Raw genomic sequence first — 14,927 nt, 5'->3', positions numbered from 1 at the left:
CTTGACTGCACCCTTGGATTCCTCTTCTGAAAACACTTTTTCATTCTCTACCCCATAGGTAGGCTAAACATTTCTCCAATTTTTATGCTCTGCTTCCCTTTTAATTATAAATTCTACCTCTAGGTCATTTCTTTGCTCCCATAACTGAGCATGAGCAGTGAAAAGTAACCATACCACTTCTTGGAGACTTTGCTATTGGAAATTTCTTCCACCAGATATCCTAGTCCATCACTCTTAAGTTCAGTCCTCCACAGGGCCCTACAGCGTGAACACAAGGCAGCCAAAAATTTTGCTACAATGTAACAAGGGTGACCTTTGCTTCAGTTTTCAAATAAATACTCTCCATTTCTACCTAAGACTTTATCAAAATGGCCTTTACTGTCTATGTTTCTATCAATGTTTTGGTCACAGCCATTTAATCTCTAAAAAGCTTCAAATTTTCCCTCTTTTTTTTGTGTTCTTCCGAGTCCTCATCACAATCACCCTTAATGATCTGTTCATGGAAACAGAGCCTTTTTCAAGCCTAATCCTCCAAACTCTTTCAACCTTTGCTCATTACCCAATTTGAAATCCACTTCCACACTTTAAGGTATTTTTACAGCAACACTCCATTCCTGGTACCAGTTTTCTACCTTACTCTGTTTTCTGTTTCTTATAACAGAATATCCAAAACTAGGTTATCTCTAAAGAAAAAAAAAATATTTCTTACAGTTATGGAGGCTGAGAGTTCCAAGAATGAGGTCCTCTTGCCGGCGGAACTCTCTGTAGAGTCCTGAGGTAGCACAGAGTGTCACACAGAAGGGGCTGAGCATGCTACATCACAACATGGTGGGGAAAGTCAAGGGGAAGTAGATATATGCGAAGAGGCAAAACCTGAGGGGGCATCCAGGCTTTATAACAACCTGCTCTCAAAGCGTCAGTCCCACAAGAATGAATTCAGTCTTGCAAGAGACTACCGTGAGAACAGCAACAAACCATTCACAAGAGATTCACCCTCATGACTCACATATCTCCCACTAGGGCCCACCTCCCAATACCACCACATTAGGGATCAAATTTCAATGTGACTTTTGGTGGAGACAAGTCATATTCAAACTCCAGCGCCAGGCTATCAAAGAAAGCTAGAATGACTATATTCATATTACACAACTCATGGAAAGAAACATTACCAAAGATATAGAGGGTCATTTTTTAATGTTCAGGGGTTACTTAATCAAATGGCATTACAAAATTCAAAATATTTCTACACCTAATAACAGAACTTCAAAATACCAGAAAGAAAACCCTTGACAAAACTTCAAGGGGTAATAAGCAAATTCACAATTAAAATGAAAGATTTTAACATTCCTCCATGATAACTGATAGAAAAAGTAGACAGAAAATCTGTATCTTCAATAAAGACACAGAAGACTTGAAAAAACATAAACCAACTTGAACGGCTACTACTTGACATTTATAGAACACTCCACCCAACCATAGTAGAAAATGCATTAGTTTCAAGTACACATGAAACATTTACCAAGTTAGACTGTATTCTGGCCAAAAAGGAAGTTTTAATAAATTCAGTAATAGAAAGATAGCTGGAAAATCCCCAAATATTTGGAAACTAAATATCACACTTGTAAAGAAACTATAAGGAAAAGAAGAAAGCTAAAGTGGGATGTCAAAACATTGTGAACTGGACGAAAATGAAAACACTGCATATCAACATTTAAGAGATGTGCCTACATGTATCCCAGAACTTAAAGTAAAATAAAATAAAATAAAATAAAGAGATGTGCCTAAAGTAGCAGATAAAGAAAAATACTATAGTGCTGAATATGTTTAGTATAAAAGAAAAAACTTCTACCTGAAGGAACTAAAAAAAAAAAAAAAGAAAGAAAGAAAATTAAACCCAAAGTAAGTAGAAAAAAGGAAATAATGAATATCAAAGTGGATATCAATTAAATAGAAAACAAAGCAATAGAGAAAATCATCAAAACCAAAAGCTGGTTCTTTAAAGAGATCAATGAGTCTGACAAACATCTAGCAGGAAGGATTAGGGTAAAAAAGAGAGAAAGCAAAAAACAACATAAATTACCAATATCAAGAATAAAATAAGTGACAACTACAGATTCTACAAATATTAAAAGAGTAATAAGTGAATATTATGAATAACTTTATGCAATACATTGGACACTTAGATGAAATGGACTAGTCCTTTGAGACACAAACTATAAAAAGCTCATGCAAAAAGAAATAGGTGACCTGAATAGCCCTATATCAATTAAAGGAATTTAGTTTGTTAAAAATCTTCACACAAGGAAAACTCCAGTCTGAAATGTCTTCACTGGGGAATTCTACTAAACAAAGAGAAAAAATAATGCAACTTCTAAACAAACTATTTCAGAAAATCAAAAAGGAGCAAATGCCTCCCAATTTATTCTATGAGACCAGTATTACGCTGACACTAAAACCAGACTAATATATTAAATAAAATGAAAATTACAGACCACTATCCCTTATGAAAATAAATGCAAAACTTCTTAACATTTTAGAAAATTGAATCAAATGATATATAATATGGTTAATTCATCATGACCAAGTTTATCCCAGAAATGTGAGGTGGGTTTTAATATTTGAAAATCAATCCATTTAATTCATTACAATAAGAGACTAAAACAGAAAAAAAGATCATCTCAATAAATATAAAAAAATTTTGCCAAAATCCATATCCATTCCCAATAAAGCTTCTCAGCATACTAGACATAGAAGAGAATTTCTTCCAATTGATAAATGGCATCTGTAAACAACTTTCCCCTAACATTACAGTTATTAATGAAACTGAATGCTGTATCTTTAATATAAGAAACACAGCAAGCATGCATATTCTCATCACTTACACTAACTACTATAATTATGATACTAGCCAGTACCACAAATCAAGAAAAAGAAATAAATGACATCCATATTAGAAAGAAAGATGTAAAGATATCTATTACCAGATAGTATGATCCTTTACATTGAAAATCCTATGGAATCTTCAGAAAATTCTATAATTTATGTATAAAAATCAATCATGTTTCTATATACTAGCAAAGAACAACTGGAAGTTGAAATTAAATAAAGAATCAGAACCATCAAAAATATAAAATATGTATAAATCTGGCAAAAGATGTACAAGTCTTATAAAATAAAGACAATAAAAACCTTGTGAAGCAAACTTACAAAGACCTAATATATGATGCTATGTATCATGATCAAGGACTCGGAGACTCAAAAAGGTTAAGATGTTATTTCTCTCTAAATTGATCTATAGATTCAATTCCTTCAAAATCTCCATAGGCTTTTTATAGAGCTTGACAAGTTGAATCGAAAATTAATATGGAAATTCAAAGGGCCTAGAAGAGTCAAAACAACTTTGTGAAGAAGAAACACATTTGAATATTGACTTTAATTCACCAACCAACTTTTAAGACTATAGTGTAGTTACTATAGTCAAGTCTCTATGGTACTGTCATCAAGATAAACAACCTTCAGTGGAATAGAATACAAATTTATACATAATCTACACATATATGGTCAGTTGACTTTAGACAAAGACACAAGTGCAAGCAGATGAGAAAAGATAGTCTTTTCAACAATACTGAAACAGATATCCACATGCAAAAAAATAAAAAAACAAAATATTGAACTTGAACCCATACCACGTAAAAGTGAACTTTGAGGCTGCGCACTGTGGCTCATACCTGTAATCCCAGCACTTTGGGAGGATGAGGTGGGCTGGATCACAAGGTCAGGAGATCGAGACCATCCTGGCCAACATGGTGAAACCCCGTCTCTACTAAAAATACATTAGCTGGGTGTGGTGGTGCATGCCTGTAATCCCAGCTACTCGGGAGACTGAGGCAGGAGAATCACTTGAACCAGGGAGTCGAAGATTGCAGTAAGCCGAGATAGTGCCACTGCACTCCAAGCTGGCGACAGAAAGAGACTCCATCTCAAAAAAAAAAAAAAAAAAAAAAAAAAGAAAATGAACTTTGAAGTGGATCATAGATCTATATGTAAGACCTAACACCACATAACTTCTAGACGTAAACATAGGACAAAATGTTTGTAACTTTGGGTTAGACAAATATTATTTGGATATTTTATCAAAAGCAGAATTCATAAAAGAATGAATTAAAAAATTTGACTTTATCAAAAGAAGAAATGAATGATCTTCAAAAGTCGCTGCTAAAAGAATGAAAAAAAAGGCAGACTAGGAAAACTATTTTCAAGTCATATATCTGATAAAGACTATCAAGAATATATAAAGAAATCTTAACATTCAACCAAAAGAAAACATGCAACCCCAATGAAAAACATGGGCAAAAGATTTGATAATACATTCCACCAAAAAAGACACATAGGTGGATTCATCATATGAAAACTTGCTCAACATAATTAGTTAGTAGAAAAATTAACATTGAAACTATAGTAAGATACCATGCTCAACATAATTAGTTAGTAGAAAAATTAACATTGAAACTATAGTAAGATACCACTACACATCTATTAGAATGTCTAAAATTCAACAGAAATAACCATATTAAGTGTTGGCAAGGGTGCTGAGTAAATGAAACTTTTATATATTACTGGCAGAAACATAAAAGGGTCTAACCACGCTGAAAAACACTTTGGCAGTTTCTTAGAAAGCTTAATGTGTACCTACCGTATAAATTAGCTATTCCACTCCGTGTTATTTAAGATAAATTAATGCATATGTTTATATAAAGATTTGTAAATGAATGTTCATAGAAACTTTATTTTCAGTAGCCCAAAACTAAAAACAACTCAAATGTCTATCAACAGTGTAATGAATAAGCCAATTTACTTAGCAACAAAAAGTAAGGAACAATTGGTAACACCCAACAATAAGGATGCATCTTAAAATAAGTGTGATGAATAAAAGAAACCAGAAGAATAAAAAGAGCATATACTGTATGAATGCTGGGTAAAGTAGGGGTAGGGAGGCACAAAAGAGAAGGACTACAAGGGGCATGGAGAAACATTTGAGTTTGATAGATATGTTTATTATATTGATTTTGATTCTGATTTTATGGATGTACACATTTGTGGAAACATATAAAATTATACACTTTAACTATATATAGTATGTCAATTATACCTTAACAAGATTGTTTAAAAGGAGAGAGAAAGAGAGACAGAGAGAGAGAGAAAGAATATTCTGGGGCTCCACCTAAACTCAGTTGAGAAAGAATGCAATGAATTTGCGTCACAGATGAGGAATGCCCTTCTTAACTCCTGCAAAATATGAGAAGTAAGAAAGGTGCTGTGGCACATAGGAAGGGCATATAACCACGCTTTAGCAAGTCAAGATATTATCCTAGAGATATTGTACTTACATTGACTAGTAAATGCTAATACAAGTAGCTAAATGAAAAGAGAAAAAAAGTTCAAGAAATTTTCCCAATAGGGATCTTGCCTAAGGAAAGACCCAGAGGTAAAGAAGAAAATGATTCATTTCAGGAATTTGAGATACTATAAATGATTCTTAAGAGGCATATAATGGTAGAGGCAAGAGGATATATGTGAGTACACAGATCCATGATAATATTATCATGACCCTGAGGAACTGGAATACACTGAAGCATCCTCTGCTTCAATAATATTAAATTGTTTCCATTACAGTTTCAGTTGTGACTATTTTTGATGCATTCCATTTTGTTCCAAGATAGAAATCAATATGAGGAAAAATTTTTAATAAAACAAGCATTTTGAAATGCTCCAATATTCCTAACATTCAGGATAAGAAAAAGCTCACCACCTTAAGATTATGTTGTGACCGAATACAGGAAACAGGAAGGTAAGAAACTCATTATCTGCCCACATATAGTCAATTTCAAAACTTCCCAAACATTCCTGTTCAGCTGTAAATAATATAGGTTTATGGTTTAGAATTTTAAAATTGCATAAACTGCAAATTTACCTTTGATTCTTAAAAAAAATGACTCAACCTGCAAATTGATGTGTGACAGGCACAGTGCTAGACACTGAAGTCACAAACATAAGAACAATGAAGTTCTACCACTTGGGAAAAATTAGACTGTGATTAATTCAGAGTAAGTAAGCAGACCTCCATAGTTTCCACAAAATTCAGTGTGTTCTGTTGAACATCAATTTAATGGAATTAGAATTCTGCTTGAAGCCTTAAATTTCCATAGAGATACCAATTTATTCACCAAAGGAGTGTTCACCCACATTAAGAGAAAGTGAAATGTGGTCTGAGATTGAATTTGGCATCCTGATAACATTATCTTAAGTACAAACCCCTTCTGTGAGGTCAAGATTAGAAAGATTAGTGGGAAAGAACAATTTTTCTTACAAGAGCAAGCTCTAGGCTTGTAGGTCTGCTTCATAACAGGGCTTTGATCTTTCCCATTTTGCTAATCTGTAAATCCAATCACACTTGCAGTTGAGCACACAGATTTCATTCTCTCTTATGAGCTAGGCATCCCTCCGAACTGCTATATGGCCAGACCAAAACTCTCTGAGAGAATTATGTTAAGTCTTATGACCGAGACTAATCATTACAAAATGCATTTTAGTCTTAAAAGGAGAGAAGAAAAAATATTATCAGTATTATAAATATTGAGATCAGTTTTGATTGATCATTAGAATCAGTAAATCAGACATCATTTTCTAATAGTATATTTATACTATATATAAAATGTATGTGTGCTTATATATATTAGAATTGCTACCAAAAAATAAGTATAGCAAATTTATCCCTCTCTGTAAAATTTGTAAAGGCTCCCAGGATTATAGCAAAAGAGAAATATCACATGTAAAGTGAAAAATGAAAACATATTATTGGATTGAATTTCCAATGAGTTACTAAGGAAATAATATTATTCAACAAATGACTAGCAATTTATTTTTAAAAAAACCAGATTATTCAGTTCTAATTTTAAAAATCTATTGCATGTGACTAAAATATTTAAATACTAGAAATTTTGAAAGAAATGTCAAAAATATCCATGGTTTAATTTTTATATATTGGAATAGGAAAGAAAGAACAGAAAAAGTAAAAACTATGATGGAAATAATTAAAAATATTGTTTATATAAAACTTTTAAAACTAAAAACAACAAACTGAACAAAAATAAATTAAACCTCAATGTGAAAAAAATATATTTTTTTTGTAATATGGGTCAAAGAACTAATCTCTTGATTCTACTTTAAACATCTTGCAAAAAAGACAAACCAATTTAAAAGAAATAGGAAAGGGGCAAATATTTAGAATAGATATTTAGATAGAAATACAAATAGCTCATAACCAAATAAAAATGTTCCATCTATTTCCACAGCAAAAGCAATGCAAAATAAAATATTAAATTTCTGTGTTTCACGTATCAAATCACAAAATTTTTGTTTGACAATATACAGTATTAGAAACTGTGCTAAGAAATCAGTGTTGTTTGTGGGAACACCAATTGAGAAACTCTTTGGAAGAAAATGCAGCTATATTGACCAAAATGTCATACCATACATAACTATTTAATCTAACAATCTTTGTTGTAGAAACTTACCTAGTCATGTTCACACATACACAAACATATATGTACAAAGATGATTCTTACAGCCTTATTAATAAAAGCAAAAACCTGAAAATATCTTAATACTGTCAATAAATAAATGTTATTATAATATGTCAATAAACATAACAAATTTTGTTACATTTATACCAATGAATATGATGCAGTTATTAAAGGATGAATTGTATTAGTAGGTGTAAAAAGGAACAAAACTGAAGATATATCAATGGGTGAATAAAAGCAAGCTAGAGAAAATTGTGTATAAAATACTCCCATTTCCATAAACATGAAGAAGCTACAGAAACTGAGGTTTGTACAGCCATGGCAAAATTTTGGAAGAGTACATATGAAAATTGATCATGTTACCTCTCAGAAGTAAGATTCTAGTTCTGAGGTGATAGGCAGATAATTCTTATTGTGTAATCTCTTGTACTACTTGGATTTTAAAATTACATTTATACCCTGTTTTTATAATGAAAATACTTTCTAAGCATCACTGTAATAAAGATTTTAGCTTTTAACTTCAGAATAATAATATTTGGTAGGGTGCTTAATATGTGTCAAACACTGTGTTATGTGTCTTCAAAGCACTCTTCTAAACCTCACAACAATTATAAAGAGTATTTCTATCTCCATTTTAAAGATGACAGCAAAACTCAGAAACATTAAATAACTTGTAAAAATTCACATAACTAATGAGTGCTACATTTACTCCATCCAAAAGTTTCACTAATCAAATGGTTATAAGTTTGGGTTCTTAAGGACCAATGCCAGCACTTAGCACATTGGTGAAAATGGGAATAATTGACTGTCTTCTTGAAGCTTTATTTGTTCATTTGATTTTTAATGCTCATGGGTGGGAGAGGACTCCTGATTCTCACATGTTACAGTAGCTGGTAATAATCTAGCCATTCTGTTATAAATAACTATAAAACTAAACAAATATGTATATGAAAAGTATGTGAAAAGAAAAATATATTTTCAGAACACAACCATGATCCCCAAGATAAGGATAACAAATGTGGTGAGCCTCATGATTGCCCAGCTTTCAGCTCTGAGGCACCCATAGCACTTGGAGCTGAAGACCAAGAGGCACACAGGTATCTGAGCTGAAGAGACAGAAATCAAAGTTTGGACATAATGTTTTGGACATAATGTAAGGGACTGGAATTTGCAGTCAGAGTACTACAGAATCTAATTTGCAGTCAGAGTACAAGAGAATCAATAACTGTGAAGAAAAGGAGCTCTAGATTGCTTCCTACATAAGACTCCTATTTAGTCTTTGGCTGATTATTAAAGTATGCACACACAGGATGATACTTGAAAATGCTGGGCAAAGGATACCTACCAAGTTGCTGAGAACTCAGTGAAGATTCCAAAGCTTGTATATCCATTGGAAAAATCTGAGTTCCAACCAGCCAGAATAGAGAGACCTTGTTGAAACTTCAGATAATTAAATGACACTTCAGAAATCTCACATCTCAGGAATAAGGCTACTCTAGTCCAAATGTAATGACTCTTATAAACAATTCTTAATATAAAAAAGCTGAAGTACAAGTAAATTAAGTCTGCAAGTATCAAATCCAATCTTCTTTAAATAAGAGGAAAATACACCATTTATAAGGTTTAGGATTAAATAAAACATGAGTAGACACGCAAAGACACAGGAATATATGCCCTATAAGTATGAGAAAAGTCAATCAAAATAAAGAGATGCAGAAATGATGGAAAGAGCTAACCAGGACACAAAATAGCTATTATAAATATGGTCAAGGACTTAAAAGGACTAAATGAACATAAGGAGGGAAAAGATACAAGATTTCAATAGAAAAATACAAATTATGAGAAAGAAAATTTTTATATTGAAAATATAATATCTAAAATAACAAATTCATCAGTTGGCTTTTCAGTATATTATAAACTACAGAAAAGCATCAGTAACTTTGAATACGGGGAAATAGAAGCTACTCAAACTGAAATAGGAGGAAAAAAATGAAGAGACTCTCAATAAACTGTGAAACGATATCAACTAGTAAAATATACCTAAAATTGGAGTCCCAGAAGAGGCCAAAAGAGACTTAGGGATGGGAGAGGGATGGTGGAAAAATATGTAAAGAAATAATGGTAAAAAGTTTTCAAACTCATGGAAAATATAATCGTATAAACCCAAGAAGTTTAATAAGCTCTGAGTAGTAAAAACGCAAAGAAAATCACACCAATATACATCATAATCAAAATGTTACAACCTTATCAAAACTACAGTGAGACACCATTTCACACTAGTCAGAATGGCTGTTATTAAAAAGTCAAAAAAACAACAGATGCTGGCATGTTGCAGACAAAAGGGAACACTTATACACTGTTGGAGGGAATGTAAATTAGTTCAGCCACTGTGGAAAGCAGTTTGGAGAATTCTCAAAGAATTTAAAACAGAACTATCATTTGACCCAGGAATCTCATTACTGGATATTAAAAAAAATCATTTTACCAAAGAGATACATGCACTCATATATTCATTATAATACTATTCATAGTGGCAAAGGCATGGAAACAACCAAGGCACCCATCAGTGGTGTATTGGATAAGGAAAACGCGGTAAAAATACACAATAGAATACTATGCAGCCATTAAAAAATAACAAAATCATGTCCTTTGCAGCAACATGGATGCAGCTGGAGGCCATTATCCTAAGCATATTAATGCTGGAATAGAAAACCAAATACCACATGCTCTCACTTTAAGTGGCTGCTAAACATTGGGTACTCATAGACATAAAGATGCCAATAACAGAAACTGGGAACTACTGAGGGGGAGAGGATAGCAGTGGTTGAAAACTACCTGTTGGGTACTATGCTTAGTGACTGGGTGATGAGACCAATTATACCCCAAACATCAGCATCATACAGTATACCCAATAACAAACTGGCATGTGTACCTCCTGAATATAAAACCAAAGTTGAAATTTAAAACTGTAAACCAATAACTTTAAAAAGCATTTTAACAAGAAAAAGGATATAATAAAAATAAAACCACAATTCCATAAAATAAATAGAAAACAAATAATACATAGAATTCACAAAACCAAGAGATAATTTTTTGAAAATATTAGTGAAATAATAAACTCCCAGACAAATAAAGAAAAAGAAAATGAAATACCAATATCAGGAATAATACAAAGTACTTCCTTCTATATGCTACTGACAATAAAAGGAAAATAATAAAATTAATACACAACTTAATATGAATAAACTTAATAAGGGAAATGGAAAAAAGCTCTTTCATTCAACCCAAATGGAATAGAAAAATTAAAGAGCTTTTATCTACTAAAGAAATGATTTCATAGTTATGAATAAACGTCCCACCAAGAAACGTATAGGCCCAGATGGATTCACTGGAGAATGCTAACAAACAATTAAGAAAGAAATAAAATAAGCTTACACAAAATATTTCAGAAAATGCAAGATGAAGAAATATTTTCTATCTCATTTTATGAGGCTGCATTGCCTAATGCCAAAACCAAACAAAACATTTACAATACAAACACACAAGAGACCAATATCCTTCAAGAGTGAAGGTTCAGAAGTTCTTTACAAAACATGAATAAGTCAAACGCAAAGATACATAGAAAGATAATATCTTATGAAGAAATCAGGTTTTCCCCAATATTGAAAGTTTGATTCTTACTAAAAAAATCCATCAATATAATTCAACTTATCAAGTGAATAAAATAATTATATAACCATTTCAAAAAGGGAAAAGAAGAAAAAAATTTGTATTTATTTATAAAAATATGCCTAGAACAATAGGAGTAGAAAGTAGACTCATAAACTAATAAAAGGCATCTACCAAAAACACAGAGCTAACATCATTTCTTAATGTTGAAAGACTGAATGCTTTTCTTTTAAGCCTGGGAACAAAGCAAGAATGTCTATTCTCACCACGTTCATTAAACATCATATTAGACATTCTAGTTAATGTAATTAGGCAAAAAAAGAAATAAATAATGGGAATACATCAATTTAATGATAGGAAAGGATGAGTAAAAATTTCTATTCACGGACAGCATCATTATGTATGTAGAACAGTCTAAGCAATCTGCAAAAAATTTCCATCAAAATTATTAAATAAATTTAGAAAGACTAAAAGATACAAGCATTATATATATATGCATATATATGCACATACATATATATGATCAATTTAAAATATATAAAATATACATATAAATCTATCTAAATATATATTGTCAGTGAGCTGTTATAAAATTTTTAAAATATCATTTGAAAGCATCACAATATGCAAAACGCTTAGACATAAATTTAGCAAAACGCATAGATACAAGTACACTGAAAACAATAACATATTGCTGAGAGAATTTAAAGAGAACCTAAATAAATAGTAAGATACGCTGCATTCATAATTTAGAATTATTCAACACAGGTATTGTTGATAAGTGACTTCTACTCAAACTCATGTTTAGATTCCAAACAATACTAATCAAAACCCCAACAGACTTTTCTTGTAGAAATGAATAAGCTTTATGTGTTTGTGTGGTAATGCAAATAACCTGGAATGACCAAAACAGTACTGACAAAATAAGAACAAAAAATCAATATATCAAAAAAGAGTCCAGAAATAGACCCCCCACATACAGTTGATCTATTTCTACTTTGGCACCAAAACAATTCAATGGGAGAGAGTTGAGTCTTTTCGACAATTGCGGATACAATAATTAGATATCTATATGAAAAGTATTTGTAAAAGGATAATTTCTAGAAAATATAGCAGTGCCTTACTTAATATACTAAAAGTTTGGTGGCCTTATTATAGAAATTTCCTTTTCTCTGGAATATTGGCTATATCCTTTTAAAACACTGGCATTTGGGTTTCACTCCACCACTTACTAGCCGTATGAGCTCTTTTTCAACCCTTCATTTCTTTCTCTGTAAGATGGACTTATTAATACTCATCCTTTTCTTCTCCCAAAAGTAAGACAATATCAAACAGGATAATCAAAGTATTCACATATCTTCTCCTGCAGTCCAATCTTTACACTTTCTGTCATGCTTTTGTTTTGCCTTCTCCTTCCTTAGCATAAAAGTTATCAGCGTGTCTTGAGTTAAAAAAAAAAAAAAAAGTCAGCCAAACACAGTAATAAATTCAATGTAGCAAATAATTTTAGATGCTACATAGGCCATACCAAAGTCTATAACATTAAGGCAGTTTTGATTGGACCATGAGTTGAATGAAGGACTTTCCTGATGGACTATGATTATTAATGCTCTCAAAGCCCTTTTTATAATGGAATGACACTTTTAAGATTTGTAGTGTAAGCACAGCTCCGGTGATTGCATTATTCTGGAATAATGTACTGCTTAAGTTGAACCGGTGTGGGATTTGCTCCTGGCTTAGAATCCTTGACCTTCTATGCCCTGTTTATCAACCTCATTGCAAGGCAGCATATACTACTGTTCAGTTAGGGTTGAGAATGAATGCTTTAGCAGCCTTAGGAAATATGCTTCCATGTGCCTTCAGGCTGATGTTTATAGAGCTATTGGTGATAAAACTTGAATGACGTTAGTGAAAGGAGGATAAAATTCTTTAGAAAAAATATTACACTTACTTTATGGAATGTTGAGTTCCAAGTTCTCCAAAACAATTCTGGAAAAGAAAATGAGAGTCCTGTGATTTTTTATGGAGTCAGTGAATAAAATAGGTTTGGCATGTAGTTTAATTCAGTCCATTATTGTTATCATATTATACGCCTGCCCTATGTAAGGATAAGGGAAACACAGATACAGAAGATAAAAGCCTTGCTCTGGAACTAGTCTGCAGGGATTTTTCAACCCTCAATGCCTATTTATCACTTGGGAAGCCTTTAATAAATGTTTATAAAGGAGGCATACACCAGGACAACTAGTATCTATAATTTTAACATCACTTCCATTGATTCCAATGTGCAGCCAGAGAAAGCAGAACTGGGTCCCTCCCAAAAATGTGATGATTTAGCTGATGCTGGATGTAAAGAAAAATTCTGCATAAAGTTTGAGGAGTTAAAAATGGAATGAGAGTTCCAGAGAGCATAGCTGAAAGACTTTGGATTGGAATAAACATATATATTAAAAAACAAGAGTAAAACATGCATGAGAAAAGATGATGAATGGGTGAGAAAAGGAAACACTAGGTGCCTTTTTTTCCACCCTTTCTTCCTTGCTTCCTTCCTTTCCTTCCTTCATTTCTTTCCTTTTTTGCTTTATTTCTTATCTTTTTGTATTCTTTTTCTCTCTCTTCCTCCCTCCCTCCATCTTCCTTCTTCCCTCCCTCCCTCTTCCTTCTTCCCTACCTCTCTTCCTTTTTCCTTCCTTCCTTCCTTCCTTCCTTCCTTCCTTCCTTCCTTCCTACCTTTCTTTCTGTGACAGAGGGTCTGAGGACATAAGGAGAGATGAACATTAGATTAATATTGGGAACATTGAGTTCCAGTTGGTGTGTCAGTTGGGAGGTAAACTTGGGAACAAGTGTCTAGCTGGTGAATATAAGTATTTAAAGAAGAAACAGTGCTATCTTCAGACATTTGCTTGCCAAATACTTTGTTAATTTGTTGCATCTGCTTTTTGCACAGATTTATGGACTTCATGCATTAGGATCTCACCAAACAATAAATGTTCTTACAATTCACTTCCCTATCCACCTGAGAGGTATTGGAAAGCCTGTGGAGTTTCACCTCATCTCTGTTGATTTCTATACTATGGGAGTGTTTGTTAGCTGATACTCTCAATTTAGTTTTTCTCTCAGATCTTGGCTCAGTTTTCTTATCTTCAGTTAGGCCATCTCTGATCTTCCTGATAAGATAAATTATTCTATTATGTAGTGTCAATCTCCTGTAAACCCCTCCTTCATATTTTACTCACTTGTGTATTTCAATTTTTTAAAGAGTTTCTTATAGTTACATATCTTTCTGCATAGGATGTAAGCTCCTTGGTGTAAGGACCACTTGAGTTTTTCATCATATCTCCAGCATGCCCGTCAGTGTCTCGTTCAGAGATAAGTCAGTAAATATTTGTTGAATGAATGAATGATGGAATGACTATGGGGAAAAAAAAAACGGAAGGAGTAGAGAGAGACAAGCTGGCTACCTGTTGCAGAGGTAAAGCAAATAAGATTTTCCAAGGGTAAGACAGTTTTGCTTTGGCACTGTTTTCAAATAATCACTGTTTCTATAAGAAGAAAGCCTGAACAAACCATCCAGGTAATTCCATGACTTCTGGCAGTTGTATCTTATTTACACTTAAAGAACTGTTTATTTTTTTAGCCCATAAATGGTTAGGATGGAGAGATTATATGCTCTGA

The 14,927-nt window shown here is 32.6% G+C and overlaps 1 protein-coding gene and 1 long non-coding RNA gene across 4 annotated transcripts in view; one reads left to right on the top strand and one right to left on the bottom strand.

Moving 5' to 3' along the window:
* The window catches only part of RAB38 (RAB38, member RAS oncogene family), a 371,729-nt gene that overhangs the window by 260,802 nt on the left and 96,000 nt on the right, over positions 1–14,927 (top strand). The gene's annotated exons all lie outside the window — the stretch shown is intronic.
* LOC107984361 (uncharacterized) overlaps positions 2,597–14,927 on the bottom strand; it is a 552,293-nt gene continuing 539,962 nt past the window's right edge. For both annotated transcript variants that reach the window (XR_002957260.2, XR_002957261.2), the window contains one exon: positions 2,597–13,241. This is a non-coding gene — a long non-coding RNA (uncharacterized LOC107984361). The remainder of the gene's footprint in view (positions 13,242–14,927) is intronic.

Source organism: Homo sapiens, chromosome 11 (assembly GCF_000001405.40).
Source record: "Homo sapiens chromosome 11, GRCh38.p14 Primary Assembly".
NCBI lineage: Eukaryota > Metazoa > Chordata > Mammalia > Primates > Hominidae > Homo > Homo sapiens.
This window is presented reverse-complemented; position numbering and strand designations above follow the sequence as displayed.